At 37.8% G+C, this 21,599-nt stretch overlaps 1 protein-coding gene across 40 annotated transcripts in view; it reads right to left on the reverse strand.

Moving 5' to 3' along the window:
- TCF4 (transcription factor 4) overlaps positions 1 to 21,599 on the reverse strand; it is a 413,773-nt gene that overhangs the window by 170,959 nt on the left and 221,215 nt on the right. For 37 of the 40 annotated variants that reach the window (NM_001243226.3, NM_001369584.1, NM_001369576.1 and 34 more), the window contains one exon: positions 10,311 to 10,375. In NM_001243226.3, the coding sequence (NP_001230155.2) occupies positions 10,311 to 10,375 (65 nt within the window). Of the gene's footprint in view, positions 1 to 8,436; positions 8,546 to 10,310; positions 10,376 to 10,477; positions 10,853 to 21,599 lie in introns of those variants that run through there. The other 3 variants (NM_001306208.1, NM_001243232.1, NM_001330605.3) reach the window with 2 other exon arrangements.

The raw sequence follows: 21,599 nt of genomic DNA on the forward strand, positions 1-21,599 counted from the left end.
GGCTTGAAGTCAGGAATTTGAGACAGCCTGGACAACAACGTGAGACCCTGGCTCTACAAAACATAAAAAAGTTAACCAGCCATGGTGGTATATGCCTGCAGTCCTAGCTACTCAGGAGGCTGAGGAGGGAGGATTGCTTGAGCCCAGGAGTTCAAGGTTGCAGTGAGCTATGACTGCACCACTGCACTCCAGCCTGGGTGATAGAGTGAGATCTCGTATCTATTATTTTCTTAAGAGTAAGTGTTAAGTTATTTAATCCAATAGGAATTCATCTGCATATGCTTTGTATGGCCTACTAACTCATTTCCTCTTCATATTACTTCCTATTCTACCATTATGATGATCAAATGGATCTCAAAGAAGTTTGTAAAAATCACAAGCCACAACGTGAGTTATAAATTTGACCCCAATTTTGTAACCTTTGCATGTATTTATTTAATAATCACTTCAGAGTTAAAGCTGCATGTTAGGGTCCTTTCCCTTTGATTTTATTCTGTTCAGATTCTCAAAATGTTTGCTTCATGCAATTTGCATAATTTTTTTAATATGTAAAGATGAGGGGAGAAGGAAAACAAAAGTGAGAATGGATGAAAGTAACTTACCATCAAAGTACGAGGAAAGCTAGCTACTCAGCTAAATAAAAATAACATATTTAGTGATTTGTAATGTAAGAATAAAATGAACTCACTTGGGTCTCAAGAGGTCTGCAATATGATCTTTGCAAAAGGTAGCTTGCCAATTTAATTGAGGCAGGAGTTATTTAATTTTTTTACAGGTATAGTTTTCAATAAAACTACATATGCCTATAATACTGCAATGGCAGATGTGTCTCGATTATTAGAGGTGGGCTCGAGGGAATACATACAATGGATCTTGAAATCTGTAAGCAGCTGTTTGCAGGGGGCTGAAATGATGGGGAGGGCATTGTTCCACACACACATGTTCTTTAAGTGCACCAATATTTTGTTATTTTACTGCAGGTATATTACAGAGATGAAATTTAATAACTTACTGTATACAATGCCAATAAAACTAAAAAGATTCAGTGCCCTGCTGTTCATTATCATGGTACAAATGAGCTCAGGATATTCTGTGTGCTTGCACAGTAAAACCCCAACACACAGAGACCCCCCCATGTACAGAACTCTAGAGGGTGGGTCCTGCCTAATAACCTCAATGATACTCCTACATAATTATTCCGAAGCACGGAATTGTTATTGTCGCAAATGCATATAAACATGGCTTTGAGGTAGCTTGAAAATAACATATATCTGGTATTCAAGTCATAGAAATTGTTCATTGGAAGATGTCTTCTAAAAGGAGAGGAAAATGGAGATAAAGGGTATGTAGCTTTCATTAAGAACCCTAAGAATGCTAACAGTGATAATATATTCTATTCAACGAGATCTGGTGAAGTGCCGGGCGAAAGTCGCTCTCCCGCCAAAATGTAACTTTGCCCTTTGTTAAGTACAAGAAATGTCTGACAAAAATAAGTGCCATACTATGAAAAAAGCAACATTTGCATGTTGGAAATGCTAAGGCAAATGCAAAGAAATATTCTTGTCGGTTTCTGTTTTCTCCTCCCTATGAAACTACTTCTATGAGATTAGAAAACAACACGCTGAACATGAAAGGTCCATGCTTTAGGAAGCTCAGTTGATCTGTGAGTGAAAGCACATGTAAACAAACCCACGTCAATATCCACAGAGCGCACACAATTTTTCAAAGAATGGGGTGCTTCAATTCTAAGCAGGTTATCACTATCAGGCACGGCAGCAGACTCAACGATATATGCTTCTTTTCTAAAGTCTTTTTTTCTGAAGTCCTTAATAAGTCCATTACTTCAGATTACAGGCTTCTGTTGCTATCTTTCAGTGTTGCCAATATTTTAATTTGGGGGTTCAGTTTTAAAGAGTTTCAGTAAAAAGCTCTCAACAATAAAATAATATCAAGCATGACGTTCAATAAATATTTCTGTCATTTCACATTGAAACACTATCCTGATGTTGAATTTTGAGTATACTGCCTTTCTTACAGAAGGAGGCTATAGAGCTACACTGATCTCTACATGATATGTAGATACGTTTCAACATTAAATTATATCAGATACACCTCAGCATTAAATCAATTATTTCTTTAGTCATTAATTGATTTTTCCCCTTTGTCTTTACACCTATCAGAAACATAAAGATGAAGAACTGTAGTCCTAATTGCTAGAAGCTATTTTAAAAACGCTTAATGGTTTTCATAAGAAAAGAGAAGTTAATCCCATGATTCTGGTGAAATTTCAATTTGGATACTAGGAGTCCATTTCTTCGGTGTCTCATAAATCATCTCAAAGCAATTTCAATGGCTTTTTATGCACTAACTGCCTGAACTGTTGTTGTATAAAACTTGCCTATGCTCCTAGCACATATTCTGTTGTTTCATATATTTTACTTGAGGGCTAAATGCCATAATCGAAAAATTATTGGGGCATATTTAAGAACCTGCTAAAGGTATTGTTTCAGAATCTCGCTGTATGTAGCTCTTGTGTTTTTGGAACAATAATGTGATCTATAATGAATCCAAATTTATATAATAGCAAACCATATTCTGCCTACATTGCACAAAAAGCAAAGCCAAAACATAATCTATACATTTTTAAGAAAGTGTTCACGCTGTTGCTAAAATGTGAATTGGCATATTCCACCCCAGCCTTTTCACAGGAAATCCTCATTGGTTTTAAGGAAATTGCACATGCTAATTCTGAGGATGTTACTGAATAGATTATTCATATAATCTTTTTTTCCCCCCCTTAAGGCTGGGCAGTCAGGAACGATGCGATCTGCCCTCCGCTATGCCTTTCCCTACTGACTGTTCAGAGTTCTAGCTAACCCTGAACGGAGCTGAGTGCAGCTACTCTGTTGTAGATACTGTGTCAGGCCCAGATCCCCCAGTGGGCCTGGAATCGACCAGACAGGGTTTTCTAGATGAGAACTAATATGGACTTCTGAGCCTAAAAACTCCTTCATGGGCTTAAGTAGCAGGGAACCCAAGTTGGAAAGCACTGGCTTTGAAACAAAACATCTTAGAGTTCAGAGTCTGGCTCTGAAACTTACTTGAAGCAAATGATTTGAGGTCTACTTGCTTTACTTCTCTGAGCATCCCTTTCTTAATTATTAAGGGACAATAATATTAACCAACTCAGAGATTTATATTGGCACCTAATACTAGTTACTCAGGCTTCCTTTAGATTAAGCCCAAACTATCTTTTAGAAATTCACTCATTTTGACATTCACTATCAACCATGTCTGGATTGTGCAAGGACTGAGGCAGGGATTATTAGCTGATCCCTGATAGCGCAGCTTCACAGAGCACCACAGCAACCCCCTCGAGTCGGCCAGTCAACTACTGATGATCAACCTTGTGAGATGTTTACTAGCAATTATAGAGTGGCAATATGAGAATCAGAGAAACACAGCTAGGGGCACAGAGGTTGTTGCAAGGTTCCAAATTTCACCAAAAGAATACTGAAGTTTAGTTTACAAGGAAACATGCCTACAATTACCTCCCTCCTCTTACAATTAAAGCCTCTCTGACCATCAGCCTGAGCCATAACTACTTTTCTTATCAATATACCTTAAGAGATTTCAAGAATACTTTAATGCTTCCAACATCCTCCAGGTAAGGAAACATTAGAAACAGTAATTGTTATGACACTTATATAAAATATGAAACATGAAACTGATAGTGTTAAAATGAATGATGAAAGAAACTGCCCTTTTATAGAAGAATACTAGCTATAAATGTGGAAGGAATGATGGAATTTTAAAAGAATCACCAGTTTGAAGTCTTCAGTTGAAATAACTGATTCAGGCAAGGGTCATCAATGTGTGCTAAAACTATTAGGTCAAAGGTTGTTGGGAAAAAGGGGTATCTGTCCATTGCTAAAGTATCAATACAAAGACTATTTGTTAATTGCAGATGGGGAAAGATTCCTTTACAATGGAACAATCCAGTGGTCACCACTTTTGCCAAGTGATTAAAGTTAGCATTACCAACAGCAGCATAGCTCAATATTCTGTTGGAATGTAATTTGATATACACAGCACCCCCAATGAAGTACTCCAGCCGAAAATGTTTAACCTGAACCTGCATAAACCTTTAGAACTAATTTTAAATTTGTAGGCAAAACAAGTGATGAACAAAATTAAACAGCACCACAAGGAAACGAAATCTAATAATTCTAGAAAGGGGAATGTTTTATAGGACAGTTGGCCTGGTCTCTTTAAAGTCACTATCATTCAAACAAACCAACAAAAAAATTACTTGGGAAAATCCCAAGCCCAGAAGTTTGAGTCCAGCCTTGGCAACATAGCGATACCCCATCCCTAAAAAATAAATTACACAATTTAAAAAAGAATACAAATAGAGGAACAGCTCTAGTTTAAAAGAAATTATAAAGAGACATAGAAATCAAATGACACGCGTAAATGGCATTTTAGTTGCCTTTTTTAAGAAAGCTACTGAAGACATTTGCATGAGGACAACTGAAGAAATCTGAATATGGACTGAGATTAAGAAACTACTGTTAATCTCTTTAGGGATAATAACAGTATGTTAGTTAGGCAAATGTCTTATTTTTAAGAGACATGTACTGAAAAATCTATGGGTGCATTCTTATTAAATCTGCAACTTAAAATGGTTGGTTCACTGAAAAATATGTATTCTTATACATATTATACATACACACAAGAAAATACTGTATAACAAATACAAACAACTGTTTAACCTAAATAGCAGGTATGTGGCATTCATTTTATTATTTTTTCAACTGTTCTGGATGCTCAAAAATTTATGCTATGTAAGGTTAAAAATAAAAATAAATAAATAGAGCTCGATTTTCCCCGTTAACATCCAGGAAGCTGCTGGTGGGGATAGAAGGGAAGGTATACAAGATCCCTTGGTTTTTCTCCTGAGTATCTAACACACCACTACAGGGTCAATAAGTATTTCTTAACCAATGCAATGAAAGAATGGACCCATTCTCCCCTTTGATAAGTACCGGCTGACTTTTGAAAGAAGGGTATATACCCATAACAATCCCCCAAAATGAATAAGCCGCTGCCCGAAAAATACCGCTCAGGGACACAGCTGCGATGACATATATACTGCAAACTCAGGCCCTGTGATGTCTGAAACTGTCACAATTTAAAATATCCTGTCCTACCATTCACACTGCTACATTTCAATGTTCGGACCAGGATGCTGACCTTTGGTTCCAACAACACCTCTGCCAGAACCACAGATCATCTATAATTCCCTCATTCAGGCCTTTCCAGATATACAGGCCTAGAACAGTGAAGTCACCAGGTGAATGAGACGATTCAACCCCCCAAAAAGTCAGAGTGGGTGTCTCTCCACGGTATGACTTTGGTGTCCTTCCAGAGCCTGCACAGCATGTTAGAAGGAAGAGCTTCCAAAGGACTTTTTTGGGAGAGTGCAGTTTTCTGGTTTTCGTAGGCATGAAAAAGATGCTCACAATATGGTTCATGTACATTGCTATTCAGACCTTACTCCCTCAAAATGGCTTCCAAAAGTGATGCTGAGGAAAGAAACACTAGGTCATTGCAATTTTTGCCCTGCTAGGCACATGGTACACATTCAGGATAAAGCAGACATGGTCCCTGCCCTCCAGGAGTTTACAGAATCCTGTGGAAATCAGCATGCAACAAACACATAAAAATGATGGCAAATTTTAAAAAGCACGATGAAGACAGGTGCTAAGGCCCTGCAAGGGAGAGCTTCCCAGGAAGGATGCATAAGACCTCGATGGATGTGCTGAACACTCAGGATAAACACTTAGGCATCTTAGTAAATTAAAAAGCGATGTGTATTTCTGCTTGCGCAAGGCCTAATTGGCCTCAATTGCCAATTTCGTAATAAACAAAATAATTTTGTACGGTTTTCACTTACATCCTTTCTATTTTGACTTTAGATAAGAAAAACTAAAAGAGGCCAAAAGTTTAGAATTAAGTCATTTGTAATACCTATTGAATCAAAAGTAAAAATAACAAGACAAAGAAATCAATTCTGAAATGTGAAATTCATTTTGGAATCAACTACATGCTTAATTTCGATGAACCAAAAATGAGCAAGCCTATGGGCAAACTAAGAAAATATGTTTCCTCCCTGGTCTCCAAGTTTCTGGAAATTAACAACAACCTCCTAGATTAGGTCTAATTCTTAAATTCCATTAGTCATTTTAAGATGTAAACATTAAATAACTGTATCAGCAAAGTCCTATTTGATCACTTGCTGAAGAAGAAAAAGAATTTGGATGAGGTTAAAGCCTTGGACTTCACTAGAGAAAACAAGATATGGGCTGGGACATTCAGTTGTGGAATTCTATATAAAGATTTGAAGATTTTCACTATATCACTAATTTTCACTGCCTTTTAAATGAAGTTCATATGCAATATATTTCCATGCCTTGAATAATCAAATTAATGCAAAAAGCCTAAAAGCATTTTCAAGGTCATATGTTGAACACAAGTCATTAATACAGGGTATATTTCTACAGAACATTCTAGGAAATGATAAAACCTAGCTGCACATTAGAATAACCTGGGGAGTTGTCAGAAAAGCACAGGCCCAGCTCACAAGATTCTAATTTGATTGGTCTCAGATAGGCAGCTTTCTTTCTCTCTCTCTCTCTCTCTCCCCATCTCTCTCTCTCTCTCTCTCTCTCTCTCACACACACACACACACACACACACACACACACACACACACACACAATACTAAAAATGAAACCATGGCTTTAGACCTGGGCTATATCCCAGAAAGAAAATACAAACAATTCCTGATAATCAACTCTAAACTTCCATTTAAGGGGAGAAGTAATAACAAGTATTTGTTTTGATATCATCATCTCATTAAAAAAATAGATTTTAGCAAAATTTAAAAGTTTGCAAATCACCCAACATTCTATTCAAAGCAGCAAAAAGAAACCAAAACAAATGACATTTTTTCCCTTCTGGCATTTGCAATGATGCCCATTAAGTTTTAGTTATTGGCTATTATAGTATTAAGGTTGGACTAGCTTGCAAAAAACTTTATTCCCACTCATTTTCGTTTCTGTCAGACTTTCCATTATAAATTTCATTTTCTCTGCCAGTTAAAAGGAGTATGAGGTTACCATTTGGCAAGAACATGTTAAGCTGGGTGTGATTTCTGTACCCCAATTTGATTTAAATTAGTTTTGTCATATTTAGTAAGAACTCAAAAAAGTTCGTTTGGCTACTTTTGCTTATCTATTGATTCATTTTCAACACAATTTTAAAAGTCTCAAAAAGTCACCATGTTTATTTCTGATAACTTCAGGTGGAAATGCATTAATGAAATAATATCTCATTACTATTTTTAATGAAAACAACTTAATTGCTAATAAAGAACCTGCCGGCTTTCATTCTTCTGCTAAAATATATCCATTTAAAAAAGCGTCATATGTCCATCAGTATTAGTGTTAAATCCTTAGGAGAAATCTAAAATATATATCTATTTTTAACTTGATATATTTCTGAAACAACACACGTCTCACAATAATAATGTATTCCTCCAGGACAGCGCTTTGCTACCTGTTGCTTACCACCACTCTGTCTCTACACCAAACAAAAGGCTATTGAGACTGGAAGAAGCATGTTTCCATATAGCACTGCTCACCCCTTTAAGTCCATAGGATACACTGTTATAATACGATAAAGCAGCTTTTGGAGCTCCTTAGGGCACACCATCTGAAGGTTTCCTATTCCGTATCTCAATCATGTAGTAAACAGAAGAAAACAAAAGCCTCCCCTCCACGAGTCACTCACCTTGTCACACAGTGGGGAATCATTTCAGCTGTGATCTGCTATTTAGACTTGAAGCCCAAGATACTGAGATTTTGCCTTTCTCTTTGGTTTGCATAGCTGATGTTGTAGACAGGGATTCAAATAACAATACGGCACAAGAGAAACTGATTCACTGGAAGACACACTATGGTCTGTTCTATTCTCAAATTTCACAGAAAGCAGAAATTCATACTCTGTACATTTTTCATCTTCAGTCCCTATTTTCCCTCTGTCAGCAAATTTCCAAAATTTCACTTTTATTTATCCCTAAGTAATCACACTGTTTATGGAGATTGCTGCGACCACGCTAAGCACAGAGATAGTAGACTCTTGCAAGACTCACAACCATGAAGCACAAATTAAGAATGAAGGAATCTCCACACTCCACGGCTACATTACGAAGGCTTTTTAAGAAAAGCATATGCAGTCATAGTGCTATATACAAAAGAATTTTCCTGGACATTAATGCCTCAAAACGAACCTCCCAAGGCCCAGAAATTCAGCCATCACATGCCAATCCATCCACCTCTCTTCCACCCTCTGCCCCTTTCCACTTCTCACCTTGTGTTTGGAAAAAAAAAAAAATTAACTTCAGTTTCACCCGAGGGAAGTATTCCCCACAAACGGAGAAAGGAGGGTCTGTGTTCTGCACATACACAGACAGACTCACACGGTCTGGATGATGCTTTCACAAGTTAAGGGGCCTCACGCTTACTCAGCAGAGGAAATCTTTGTGTCTGTGAGGAATCACGCCAATTCCTATTAGTAAGAAAGGATACAGGGGTGAGGAAGCCTATTCTCTCAATGACCAGAAAAAGGGGCCCAGCGAAAACAGAGACCTCTGCCATGACCATCTGCAGAAAGGAAGGATGTTGTCAACTTTCTTCTCCCCAAAACTCTAATGACCTCCGCCTTGACCCTCAGAAACCAGACCCACAGGAACACGGTCTTCTGCAGGAACTGAGAGCTTTACACCAGAGACACAGCACTCAGAGGCTTGTCGCCCAGGCTATCTAGCCCGAACATTTGCACTCACATTCCAAAGATGTTTCCGTTGCGCTGGAATGGCTGTAAATTTCTTTCCTGCAGAATTCTTTCCAAACAAACTGCCATGAACTGCACTCCGGCAGGAGCTCTTAACCAAGCACTGTTCACCTCAATGCAACAAATCTTTCAGATGCCGAATATGACTGAATTGGTGGCTGGGCCAAGGGAGTAAACTTTAAAAATGCAAATATATACAGGGAAAAAACAAACACACCAACCCACCAGAAGTCGTACCTTCCTATGTCTGGTACGTAAAGGAAACTTTCCTCATAGGCTCGATTTAATTACAAAAACAAAACTTTGCTTACATTTTTCAGGGGTATATTAAATGGGCTGTTTAAAATAAAATTAAAATAGATTTTTTTCCCCCATCAAGAACATCAGAGGGTGAGAGAGTTCAAGAGAGTAAGCATCCCCTTTCCAGCATTTGAAAAAAAAAAAGTACATTTTGTTTGCGTGAATAATAAAAACAGTAGAGAGCTCTGAATATTAAAGAGGATTATTAAATTCCATCAAGAGTTTTCCAAAGTAAGAAACCAATGCACTTATAAAAAGGAAGTATAAATTTTTAAAAAAGATTTTAAATACATGATTAATACTGATACTGAACTGAAAAAGAAAGCATCTATAAAAACTCAGTTGTCTTGAAACAAAGCTTATACTTTTAGCTATTGACAGTATTTTTAGAAATAGGCTCTCTCTGGAGAGTTTAAAGTATACAAATGCAAAGTGCCCAGAGACACAAACACACACATGCTATACCTTTGTATTACACTGGCATTTTATTATTTAATTAAAGTACTCTTATTTTTCTAGCTCACGCATGCTTCCCTTGAGACGGCTTTGCTGTTAGCCTGCTGGCCTTGACTTCCAGCCAAAAACAATTCAGAAACAAAAAGGGACAACAAATCATATTTTCACAGACATTTTTATCCCTCAATACAACCCTGTTTTCACACAACATCATACAGCCCCTATGAAAACTATAATTTAGGGCAATAGCCACCCGAAACCCAGGGTCTGACACATGACTCCGCGAAGTATTTCCTGCGTAAGAAATTCTTAAGTTCTTAATTGCAAATAAACTCTTTTAATAGAACCACTTTCACCGACATTGCTGGTTTGCAAACAGTGCCACTGGTACCGGCTGATGGATTAAAAAATAAAAACAAGCCCATGAATGTAGTTCTGATACAGCAGCGATCTAAAGATGAGGTGTTTATTAGTTCTAAGCTCTGTGTTATTTCATTACTTAAAGAGAGAGCCATCATCTGACTTGCCGGTGCATCTTTGGTGTCACAGTTTAAAATGCATCATCTAATTTAGAAAACAAACTGATTTACCAGGTTAATCCTCTCAACCCTTCCGCAACAGAGATTCTCACTTACCTGGTGGCAACCCTGTAAGTTTGATTCTCTCCCATAAGATGAGTATGAGCCCCTTTCTGTTTTACCTGCCAAGAGAAACGACAAAAAAGTGTAAATTGTGTTTTTCCTTAAAAAAAAATCTCCTCCAGGTAACAGACATCTACTGCTCTTCCCCGATGTTTACATACGTAAAGTAGGCACTACTGGCAATGTATGCAAGCAAGAGAGGGAATAACACTTCCTCACTCTGGCTATGATAAACTGGAAAAAAATATCCTTCATTCCTATTCTTAGCCAAACTGCTCCACACTTCCAAAAACTGTCATTCCAATGGCCTCCACTTTCTCTAACAAACAAATCGTAACTCCTTATTTTCACTTTCTCTTGCACAAAATTTAAACAATTTCATTTTTATTTACACAGCAGGCAAATTATCTATGTAATGACCCTAGCCTAGTAATTCCCATTGATTATATTGACACTTAATAGTGAGGCCAAAACTAATCAATCACAGGCTCTCCAGATGGTGAATTTAGCAAAGAAACTATTCAAAATTCTGAGTCTCTCTCTCTCTCTCTTTTTTAAAAACTCCCTTTCCCAGGAGTGAACCCCATCATGATCAAGATGATGATGGAATTTACATTTGGGAAACAGGGCTTTTGAAAAATTGCCTACTCTGAACCCAAGTTCAGATTCCACCAATAGACCCAGCAGGACAAGGGATCATGGAATGTGAATGTCTTGTTCCAATTCTAACAACCCAATTTTTATCTGTAGACTGCTCTACAGAGATCTATAGACCCTTCGATGCTATTCGGCCACATCTAAGAATAAAATCAAGGGTGTTCATTTGTTTCTTTTTAAAGTTTAACCCCAATAATCATTAGGGAGGATAATGAAATCACATTACAAGAGATCTAAGCAGTAGAGTCCAGATAGTGACATGTGGAGAATCATTGTAGAAATCTGTCCATACCAGAACATTAAAAGGGGCTAAAAGAGGCAGGCAGGTGCCTAAGACCCCACCCCACGCAAGTCTAAAGGATACTTCTTTCGTCAAGACTGGAGCTTTACAGTAATTGTACTTGATACATAGGACTACAGTATTCCTTTTTCCAACAGGAAAACTCTAAACTTGTATTTTGAGAGGCTGAATAGATTTCCTTCTGAAGTTTACAACCCCCAAGTTTTCCCCTCTCAACTCAACACGAATGCTAAAAGTAACAGTAGTCTTTTTATCTTTTAGGTCAATGGCAATGGCAATGTTATTAGAGTATGCCTTCCTGACCCCACACAAAGAATGTATCTTTGATACATTTATATCCATAAATTTTTCTATGTGGTCAAAAGGGTATCCTGTATCCAAGTCATTACATATATAAAATGGATGGTGGTTTTCAAAGAAAGCCAAACCTAAGTCTTAAAATTAACCCCGTTTCCCAGTATTAACTTTTCTACTGATTTTAATGAATCTTAAAGTTGGGAAAACACCTCCGCCCCATTTCTGGTCTAGCGCTCAGCGCAAAGTATAAAATCAATGCCCCATATCAGTTTCAATTTCAGTGAAACAAGACACCATCGCACAGACTGTCAGTCTTAGAAGATCTAACAGAATAACTTCCATTGTATGAGGATTTTGCACTGAAGAAAAGATAAATTTATACTTGTATCAGCAGTGTGAATGGTCACAAAGACATATTTACTCATCTGTGTACATCAAATTTAAGCTACTTATACCCTTTAACTTCTCTCTATAAATATTACTAACAGAAAAGGCTCGACCTTCATGAGCTATCAAAGGACGCGTGTCCTTCCTTAAGCTCTTGCATCTAAGAATGCTTCAATATCACCATTACATCACTTACTTTGATGTAATATTCACTTGTTTAACAGGTAGATAGGCAGGCAGGAAGCTGGGCAGGTAAGGAGGCAGGCAGAAAGACAGAAAGATGGATAAAGTAGAATCTGCTCTGACTTCCTAAGAAACTGAACATCTAGTGTCCTGTTTTGGTAATTTCTAAAAATCCAAATTGTAAAATACAGTTTAAGGAAGAAAAAGCATCTATTTTTTTCTCTAGAAGGAATTCCTGAAGCTATCCCCTGTAGAATTTCACCACTCAGCATTATTTCCCAACTTGACTCCAACACACAGAACAGGAGGGAGGAATCTTTCTGCCAGGATTTGCCTCACTTATAGATATAAGTTGGGCTACTCCTTCCATTATTTTAAAGATAAAAGGGCAGGATTTTAAAAGGAGAGAGAGAATAAGTAGGAGAAAAACAAAGAGAGGAAGAGTGGAATGCAAAGAGCAAGAGGTAGGAAAAGAAAGAGGCAGGAGGGAGAGGAGGAGGAGAAGAATATGAATTCACGCTGCAGAGTCCCCAAAGTACTCTTGGCTACATGGAACCCAGCATTCTTTACTATCATATCAGATACAGACTGCTTAATCTTAATTTTGCTTGTTAAAAAATATTTATCCAGATACAAAAATAAACCCACTGCAAATTACAAGTTGTCAGGGTTAAAAATCTACTCCTGTTTGTGTGGGGGAGGATAAGAGACCAGCATAGACATGAATCATTCTCAGTAATTTGAGTGTTTCCATGACATCAATGGGCACCCGTCCAGGGCTCTGTCGAAGTCTGCGAGGTACCAAAGAGGCAGCACAGCCAGCAGGAGGCTGGGAGGTGGACTTTTTTTTTTTTTTTTTTTTTTTAAGGATTATGCTCCTTGTAAAGATTTCATCTGTAGCATCCACTTTTACCATCAAATAGATCGGTCCAGAGATCATGAACAAACACATTTCATTCTGATAGTGTAAGCTTTTAACTTTATTACATCTTTTTGTTCCCCAATTCAACTATAAATCTGCCCTCAGAGCCAGAACCCCTGTTTGGGAGCAAAATAATCAGGCACTGTGGATAAAGCCCACGCACCTTCTCAAACATAAAATCGCGATTCCTATCATTTTTTTTAAAGACTAAAAGCAGCCATTTTAAAAGGACACCTCAGTTTCTAGAAAAGAAACTATCTTTTGTGTAAATTATCCATTAAAAATTAGCTATGGTCTTGATGTTGATTTTCTGCTTAAAATTCACTTGGAACATTTGTTTCAGATAATAAAATTTTCAAGAGCGCTGATAACATGTTTGAGTAGGATCCTTAAGTAACTATCTGTGCTCATGAACACAAAAGCTCTTAAATATCTGTGTTTACTCTATGTCAGGCATGGATTTTTGTCACTTATACCAACTGGCTGGCGCGGACAGCCTCTTTCCTCCTTTCTCCATTCTTCACCACCCGCCTCCCCCCATCCCCACAACCACAACGGGGCTTTGAAAGAGCTAAAGATTCTATTTTTCCAATATTTAAAAGAGATAGCAGTGATGAACAAACCCGGCGCGTTCACTGCGGAATTTTCGAGACAACCCTCCGGTACTAGAATGCGACAGCCGCTGCGGATATTTTTTGGCACAAAGACAATGGTGGCAGTGCCAAGCCCCATGGCTAAAACTACTCAAAAGAGGCATAAGGGTAGCATTAATCGCTCAAGTCTTTTACTGCATGGAGTACTGTTGTCCATATTTTTAAAACTAAAAGTACCCGTTAGTAACATTTGTTGTATGCCCATAAAGATGGGGTTGGTGCGGGGGGCGGGGGGAGATTCTGAAATATATACCAGAAACAAATCTTGTCAGGCATTTGATTCATTTTTATACCTAAAAGGACCAAATGTTAAATTTTGCTGCTGGTGACGATTTGCCGTGCATGAAATGAATATGACCTAATGGAGTACACGAAGGGCTGAATGAAAGCTATAGAGAGGATTTCATAAACTAAGTCGACATATTGGCTAAACAACTTTCTTCTGCAAAAATGATGTATACAAGGGAACATGTAATACTATGTCACAATTTTTTAAATTAAACAAGGAAAACGCTGTAAATGAGCAGACACAACATCCGTCAATCAATCCTTCTGGAGACAAAGGAGATCAACATGCAGCCCCGTCTACAGAACAAGTCGGCATCTCCAGTGAGCAAACAGTCCAGGAAGTCAACATGTGTTCTGTCCAAATCGAACCCGTCCGCTGCTAAAGCCTATATTTAAATTTGATTATTAAAAATGGCACCAAATGGCAATCAATAAAGGATTCACTTGCTTCCCCTGGCCCAGAAAAACTAATATGAGCAGGAAAGGCAAGCAACTTCCATATAAAAAAAAAAAAAAAAAAGTCAATGTTTTGCTGATCTATTCAACAATCTTTTATCTTGCTGTCCCAAGAAGGAGCAGGAAAATTTGCTTTTTATTTGAGGGTGATATGGTTAACAAATGTCTATAGAATTTCAAATTGAATATTTTTATATTCTTGTATTATCAGCCATTTGACTTCCAATTTTTCTTCCGATACATCCATGGTATCCTATTGTAAGGGAACTGGGTGACAATGAAAATATTACATGAAGGGAAAAAAATGATCTCATAAATCCATTCCACTCATAGGGATACTTCTAAGAAGGATCACCTTTGGTAGATTACTGCCCCTGGATACACATGACAGTTCTAAACCACCTAGAAAGAGCTAGAGACAGACGAGCAACTTATCAATAAAATGATTTCTAGAGATAAGCTCTAACAGAGATGATCCCTCTTGTGGTTGACCAGTAGGATAATAACAGGGTCATGTTTGGTTGTGTAGCCTTTCATTTGTAAAATGCCACTTTAAAAATTATATATAAATGGTAGGTGTTTCACCCACCGCTGAAATAGATTCATCTATATGGGAGAATATATCATCCCGTGAAACGCCTTGATGAAAAATTATCTGATGCTGCAGGACAACACCAAGCAAGGCTGTTTCACTGTTAATCCTCATTCTGGGAACTGAAGAATGAGCCTTTTGTTCCCTGGCATCAGACTAGGGAACTCATCATAAACATGTTTGACTCAGAATAAATTTCTGTCCCCATCCCCAGTCCCATCCATCTCTGATTACCCTGTGAATCTATATATATGTAGAAAGGACTAGTTCATTAAACAACAACTGAACTTTTTAGTAGTTCTGAACACATACATGAGGTTATTATTTACAGTCCTTCATCGTTTCCATGCCTGCCTTTTCCTTCCCTGTCCAAATAAGAATAGCTGTGTCCTTATCATGTATTAACCACTGCTCAAAGCTCTACATAAAATGATTCATTCAATCTGCACAACCCCATAAGGCAGGTAATAGAAACACCATTTTGCAGATGAGGAAACTGAGATCTAGAAAATTGCCCACAGCCACACAGGTACAAGTGACAGAGCCAGGATTCAAACCCTGGCAGTTTGTTTGCCCAGACTGTGCTCTTAGCACTATGCTATGCTGCTGGTGTTTAAACTCTGGGGGAAAAAAAAAAAAGTATAAATAAACTAGAGGCCCGACACTGAAGACTCTCAAATCCCAGAGCTCAAAACACTCATGAATTTGATATGAAATTAATGAAAGTGTCTTATAGGCAATGATAATTTACATTTACATGGTGTTTTATTCCTAAAAGGTCTCTAGGTACTTTATAGCTGCACAAATGATACACATGGATTCTGTGACATCTTACAATAAACTGCCACCATCTCCGCACATTAACACAAAGCAACTAATTAACAAAAACATGGCAGAAAACTGCATTTCTACACCTCTATGTGAAGACTATGTCTTTGTATTAAGATGTACAGAAGAGTAAAAGTAAAAATATAATTATAATACAGGACAACCCAGCATCACTCAGTGTCATCTATAGAATAGTGATCCCACAACGGGCTCCAAAAACCAAAAGGGAGACTAATTAAAAGAATCTACGAACTGTTACAAGCTATTGCCCTGCCCCCCAACAGATTTACATTGTATCTAGCATGTTAAAGACTCTTGAGAAGTACTGCAGTTAAGACATTTAATTCAGGGTTTTCTTTTTTTTTAATGAGATGGGGTCTCACTATGTTACCCAAGGTGCTCTCTAACTCCTATGCTCAAGGATTCTTCTGCACTGCTCTCCAGAGGAGCTGGGATCACAGACATGAGACACTGTACTTGGCTTTCAATTTAGTTTTATACAATGTTTCCTAAACTGACTTGAGCATACATGCCCGTCCCCATCTTTTTTGTGTCTATTAATACAAGAGCTGATGACCTTTCAGAACTACTATTATTTACAACTTAACACTAAGAATATATCAGGTTACTATATATTTGTAGTTTTCTATCAGATAAATGATGTAGGTTCAAAAATTAAATTTTTATTTTATTTAAATTGATATGAAAACATTTTGACTATTTAATTTGCTGGTTTCTATTGGCTTATATGTCTTACGGTAATCTGTGGCCATGCAGGTATAGCTTCATTGTTCTGACTAGCTAGTCAACTTTACTCCTGATCCCAGTTTGGAGGTGAGACTCTGGGTTTACAAAAAAGCAGAAGCTGACATTATTCTTTCAATTTCCAACATTTCAGAGAAGAGTACTGGTTCTCTCCTACAGAATCTTACGATACAGGGACAACTCTGCCTTCATCCACAGTCATTTAAAAATCTAAATGTAAAATAAATTTGTGCTAAAAGAATTACAACTCCATTCCAGCAAATAAACTAGTCATCCAACAACCTAGGAAATCCTATAAAGACAAATGGGGGAAAAGGTAACTAACTAGGCACATAGCTTGTATGTATCAAGGGATAATGAAAAATGGGCAGTAAACCATTTTTTTCTGGAAAAGACTGGCATTAACTCTCTCTTCCGCTGATGTTCTTTTAGTCCTAAAAATAGAATACTCAGTAATGGCCTATAGCTCTGATCCCACTGGAAATTGGGGAGTTTTGGCTGCATTTCATCACTGATTCCCCTCATCTCATCTAGGCATTGTGCTGCCTTTAACACAGTGTGGGTACTGAAACCCCAGATAGTATCTTAAGGTGCCACCAAAAGTCTTCACTTCAGGGCTCTGCCTAAGTGAAGAATTTCAGATTCTATATTCAATTCTCCATAGAGCACTTATATTTGTAATGCACTATCTCGCATGCAAATTTAACTTACATTATTTAAGGCAACACACCCTAAAAGCTCATTAAATGGGCATTTTAGTCCATGTTTTTATAGACGAAGTCACTAAAATTAAGGGTAACCAGCTCATATAGTTAAAAAGGCTGCACAGATATGAAGTGGTGAAGTTAGCACACAGACCTCCAGTTCCAGTACCAAGGCTTTCCCACAATATGCCACCTCCGTTTGGAGTTTTCTAGATGTATCATTATTAGTGCCTACTGTAGCAACAACCATTGCCTTCTCACTACCGTAATCCTCTCCCCAAATAATTTAAACTCAATTCATAAAGTCAAAGAGTTCTCAAGTTCCATGATGGATGAAAATGTCCGAATCGATAAGCATTTTGAGTGAACATCCTACAGTCCATCAAAAACTACCTTTTCAGTGCAGAATAAAAATATTGTCCTAGATGATTTCACATGGCCCAGACAACAACAACCAAAATCAGCCCCTCACTTGGCATCCTGCTTAGGAGAAGTACACACATTATCAAATTAAAGCACATGAGTTTTATGCTTGATTTTCCGAACGCAGGAAAATCTTTCATTGAAAATAACACTAATTCCACAGAGTGTGCAATTAATCAACATAATCATGGGGATAACTTAGCTGTTTGGGGAGGTGTGTCAAATAACTCTTTAAGGCCACTAAAGTACCACTTGAACCACCAAAGTAATGATTTTCTGAATCAGCAATTTGTACAAGGGTCCCCTAGAGACCTGAAGGACTAAGGGCAACCCTGAAATCACTCAACTTACTTCTAATGAGTAACTTACCATTGGCTTTATGTGAATAACATCTTCACAGTGATGCCTACCCTATCTTATATTTTTACTGCAGTTTGAGTCTATGATAATTGGATATAACCAAGGCAATTAAGGACTTGTGTGGTCTTAGAAAAAACAGCATATGCATTTGAAAGCTTATTTTTTATTCAAAAGAACATAATAGTTTTTCATATAAAAATGAAAAAAAGCTCATCTTGCAATACATGCTAAAGGTGTCAAAAGCACGCAGAAATAAAATATTTTCACTATGTTCTTAGGCAGAAGGAAGACTTGTGATGAGATGGTGAGTGTGGAGAAAAGCAATTTCCTCAAATTCAATTCATGGCTAAGAAACCTTGCTGATCAGGAGAATTATCAGCAAGACTTTTCCTAAAAACAGATTCCTGGGTTCTCTTCTCCATGGTACGTGAATTCGGTAGAGTCTGGCATTCTCTCTTTTTATTTTTATTTTTTTCTTTTTAAGACAGAGTCTCACTCTGTTGCCCAGGCTGGAGTACAGTGGCATGCAGTCTCAGCTCACTGCAACCTCCATCTCTTGGATTCAAGCAATTCTCCTGCCTCAGCCTCCCGAGTAGCTGGGATTACACGCATGTGCCACCACATCCGACTAATTTTTGTATTTTTAGTAGAGATGGGGTTTCACCATGTTGGTCAGGCTGGTCTTGAACTCCCGACCTCAAGTGATCTACCTGCCTCAGCCTCCCAAAGTGCTAGGATTACAGGCATGAGCCACCATGCCCAACAGATTTTTTTTTCTTGCAAATAAAATTCCACTGGTTATTCTGACCAGCTAGGGAGACAAGCAACCAATTTAAGTGATAGGCACAGCTCTATAGGTTACATTAGCTAAAACTCCAATAGACCTGGTAACATGGTAGATAACAAAAAGTAGATTACTACTAGCACTCACCTATTTACGCAGAGTTTTTTAAAAGACAAGGACTTGTTGATCCCCAAGGTCATTTCAGACAGTTACATTTCATGGGTTAGAGAAACCTTTCTCTGGCAGCGTGCTAGGCCTTTAAATGTGCTCATCTCCAATAATGAAGGCTGTTTTTTTTTTTTTTAAGAAATCGATTTTACATTGCCAAATCGATTCCCCTAATAAACAACAGTATCCCAAAATATGAGAATCCCGGAGTTTTGTTAAGGTTGCTCCTCATTGATCAGACCCACTGGCCCGCTGCTCTGAAAGCATCTCTCTTCTATCTCAAGAGTGGATGTCACCTTTAGAATCCAGGATCCAACTCTAGTGAACCTGACCTGGTTCGTTCATTTAAAAGGGTCCTTCTACCCCTTCTCTGTCCACGTTCTGTGGAGGCATGACAAGTCCACAGTGAGGGAGAAAATCCGGTCCTTTCCCTTTCATTGGAGGAGATGGGTGACATTTCTGGCTGAATGTAATAGAGACAACATCATCTGGGCAAGACTTTGGTGCCTGGCTAAATATTTTGGAATTTATTGGAAAATATGAAGGAAATCAGCAGCCGCATTTCACCACACAAATCACTTTTAATCATAAATTATATGCTGCTCACTTAACTGAATGTTCCACCAGAGTCTTAGCAACAGTCAATGTAAAAGATAAAAATGATACAACTCTAAATAAGCCACAGTGAGATGGAAAAGAGAGGAAAAGGTTTGTTTGTTATAGAGTAGTCTACATAGGCACTTAGTTGTCTATATAGAAAAATTATGTATTTTAGCACCATGGTACACAGGTGATGGCCTTAACTTTCAAGCTAAGTTTACAGTGAACAAGAATATAACAATGTTCATCTCTTAAACTATACACATTGGATATGATACTCAAAACTACATCAAAAGAATGGGGGGGGACATGACAATGTTATATACGGTATATAGATATGTATAATACATACATAAACACACATATATAAGTGACATTTTTAACCCCAGACAGAAGATAATCCAACTGCCATTTGTATACGTATCTGTAATATATTAAATGATCATTTCTCTAGCCTTAGCACTGAATACAATTGACCTATATCCCCTAAACATGCACTACTGAGAGAAACTGGAGGGGAGTGGGAGGAACAGCCCAGAATTGAAAACACATTCCAAGGAAGACAAAGAGTAGGAAGATTGCTAACCATTATATTTATAGAAGAATGATGTTTTCCAGCCAAGCCTGCTCTTCAAGATCAACTTCAAGAGAATGGGCCCATAATAATAACCAAACTGCCAGATACGCAGGGCCACACTCCCCAGAGTCCAACCAGCCTGCAGCACTAGTTATTGTTCAAGGAAGGGGAAGGTTGGTAGATGAATGGTCCCATGCTGCAGTGTTTAAGAGAAGCCTCTCAATGACTGAATCTAGGAGCATGACTCAATCAAGAGAGGAAGGTGGGGAGCACAGGAAGGAAGAGGAGAGGCAGAGGGAAGGATGAGAGGGAGGAAAAAGAGAAAAAAGAAAGCAGACAAGGAGTAGCCAGAAGAATGACCTCATCCTATAAAAAGTATGCAAGAAAATAAAATGCATTACATATACTATGTTTACAGACCACAATTTTTAATCCTGAAACTTGCAAAAATTATCATCTGAATAGTGGTGAATGAGGCCTAAAAAACACAATATAGGGAATTTAATATTTGTTGGGTGCTTTCTGTGTAACATGTGCTGGATGCAAGAGAGTCAACAATGCACATTATTCTCAAGGAGGTAAGAGTTTAGATGACTAAATACCAGGAGTAACACAATGCTATCCACCAGTAAGGGATATAATGGGAACCCAGAGAAGCACCAAGAAAGAGCACCCAATACAACCTCATTGAAGACAAGGTGGTAACAGGAGAGACATGTATGTGAGATTTCATGCAAGATGACATTCTAACAGAGGTAATAAGGACTTAATATTTGTTAGAATGCAATTCTTAGTTATTTGACAATGTTAAATCAAAGTAAGTAAAGACTATTAAGTAAAAATTTATATCATTTATCCAAAACAAATTTTAAGGTAACTGGAACCTAAAATTGCAAAGGGGAAAAACTGAAAGAAAAGAAAAGAAAAAAAAAACGTAGATGACATTTCTGCCCTTCCACAGCTCTAAGTTCTTTGATCACTCCACGGTTGGTTTGGAAGTTTTTATGGCTTTTGCTTACAAATTAGAAAAATTTGCAATGTAAGACAAAAGAACTATAAAAATCTAAACTGCCTTCTCTGTACAACAAATACCAAACTGACTCCATCAAGTCATTTAATTTCAGAGATACACAGAAATCACTTATACAAACTAAATTATTATAAAGACTTTGATGGAGCCTTGTCAACAAAAATTGTTGCTATTTTTAAAAGACACACTCATTACACAGAGCCCTGGCCTTCACTACCAGGACCCAAGGATGCTCTCCACCCAGGCAATGGTAGAGAGGCTGACACTCTTCCTCTGTAACTGCCCTTGTATAGTTTAGTCCTGTGTCC

This window comes from Homo sapiens, chromosome 18 (assembly GCF_000001405.40).
Source record: "Homo sapiens chromosome 18, GRCh38.p14 Primary Assembly".
Taxonomy (NCBI): domain Eukaryota; kingdom Metazoa; phylum Chordata; class Mammalia; order Primates; family Hominidae; genus Homo; species Homo sapiens.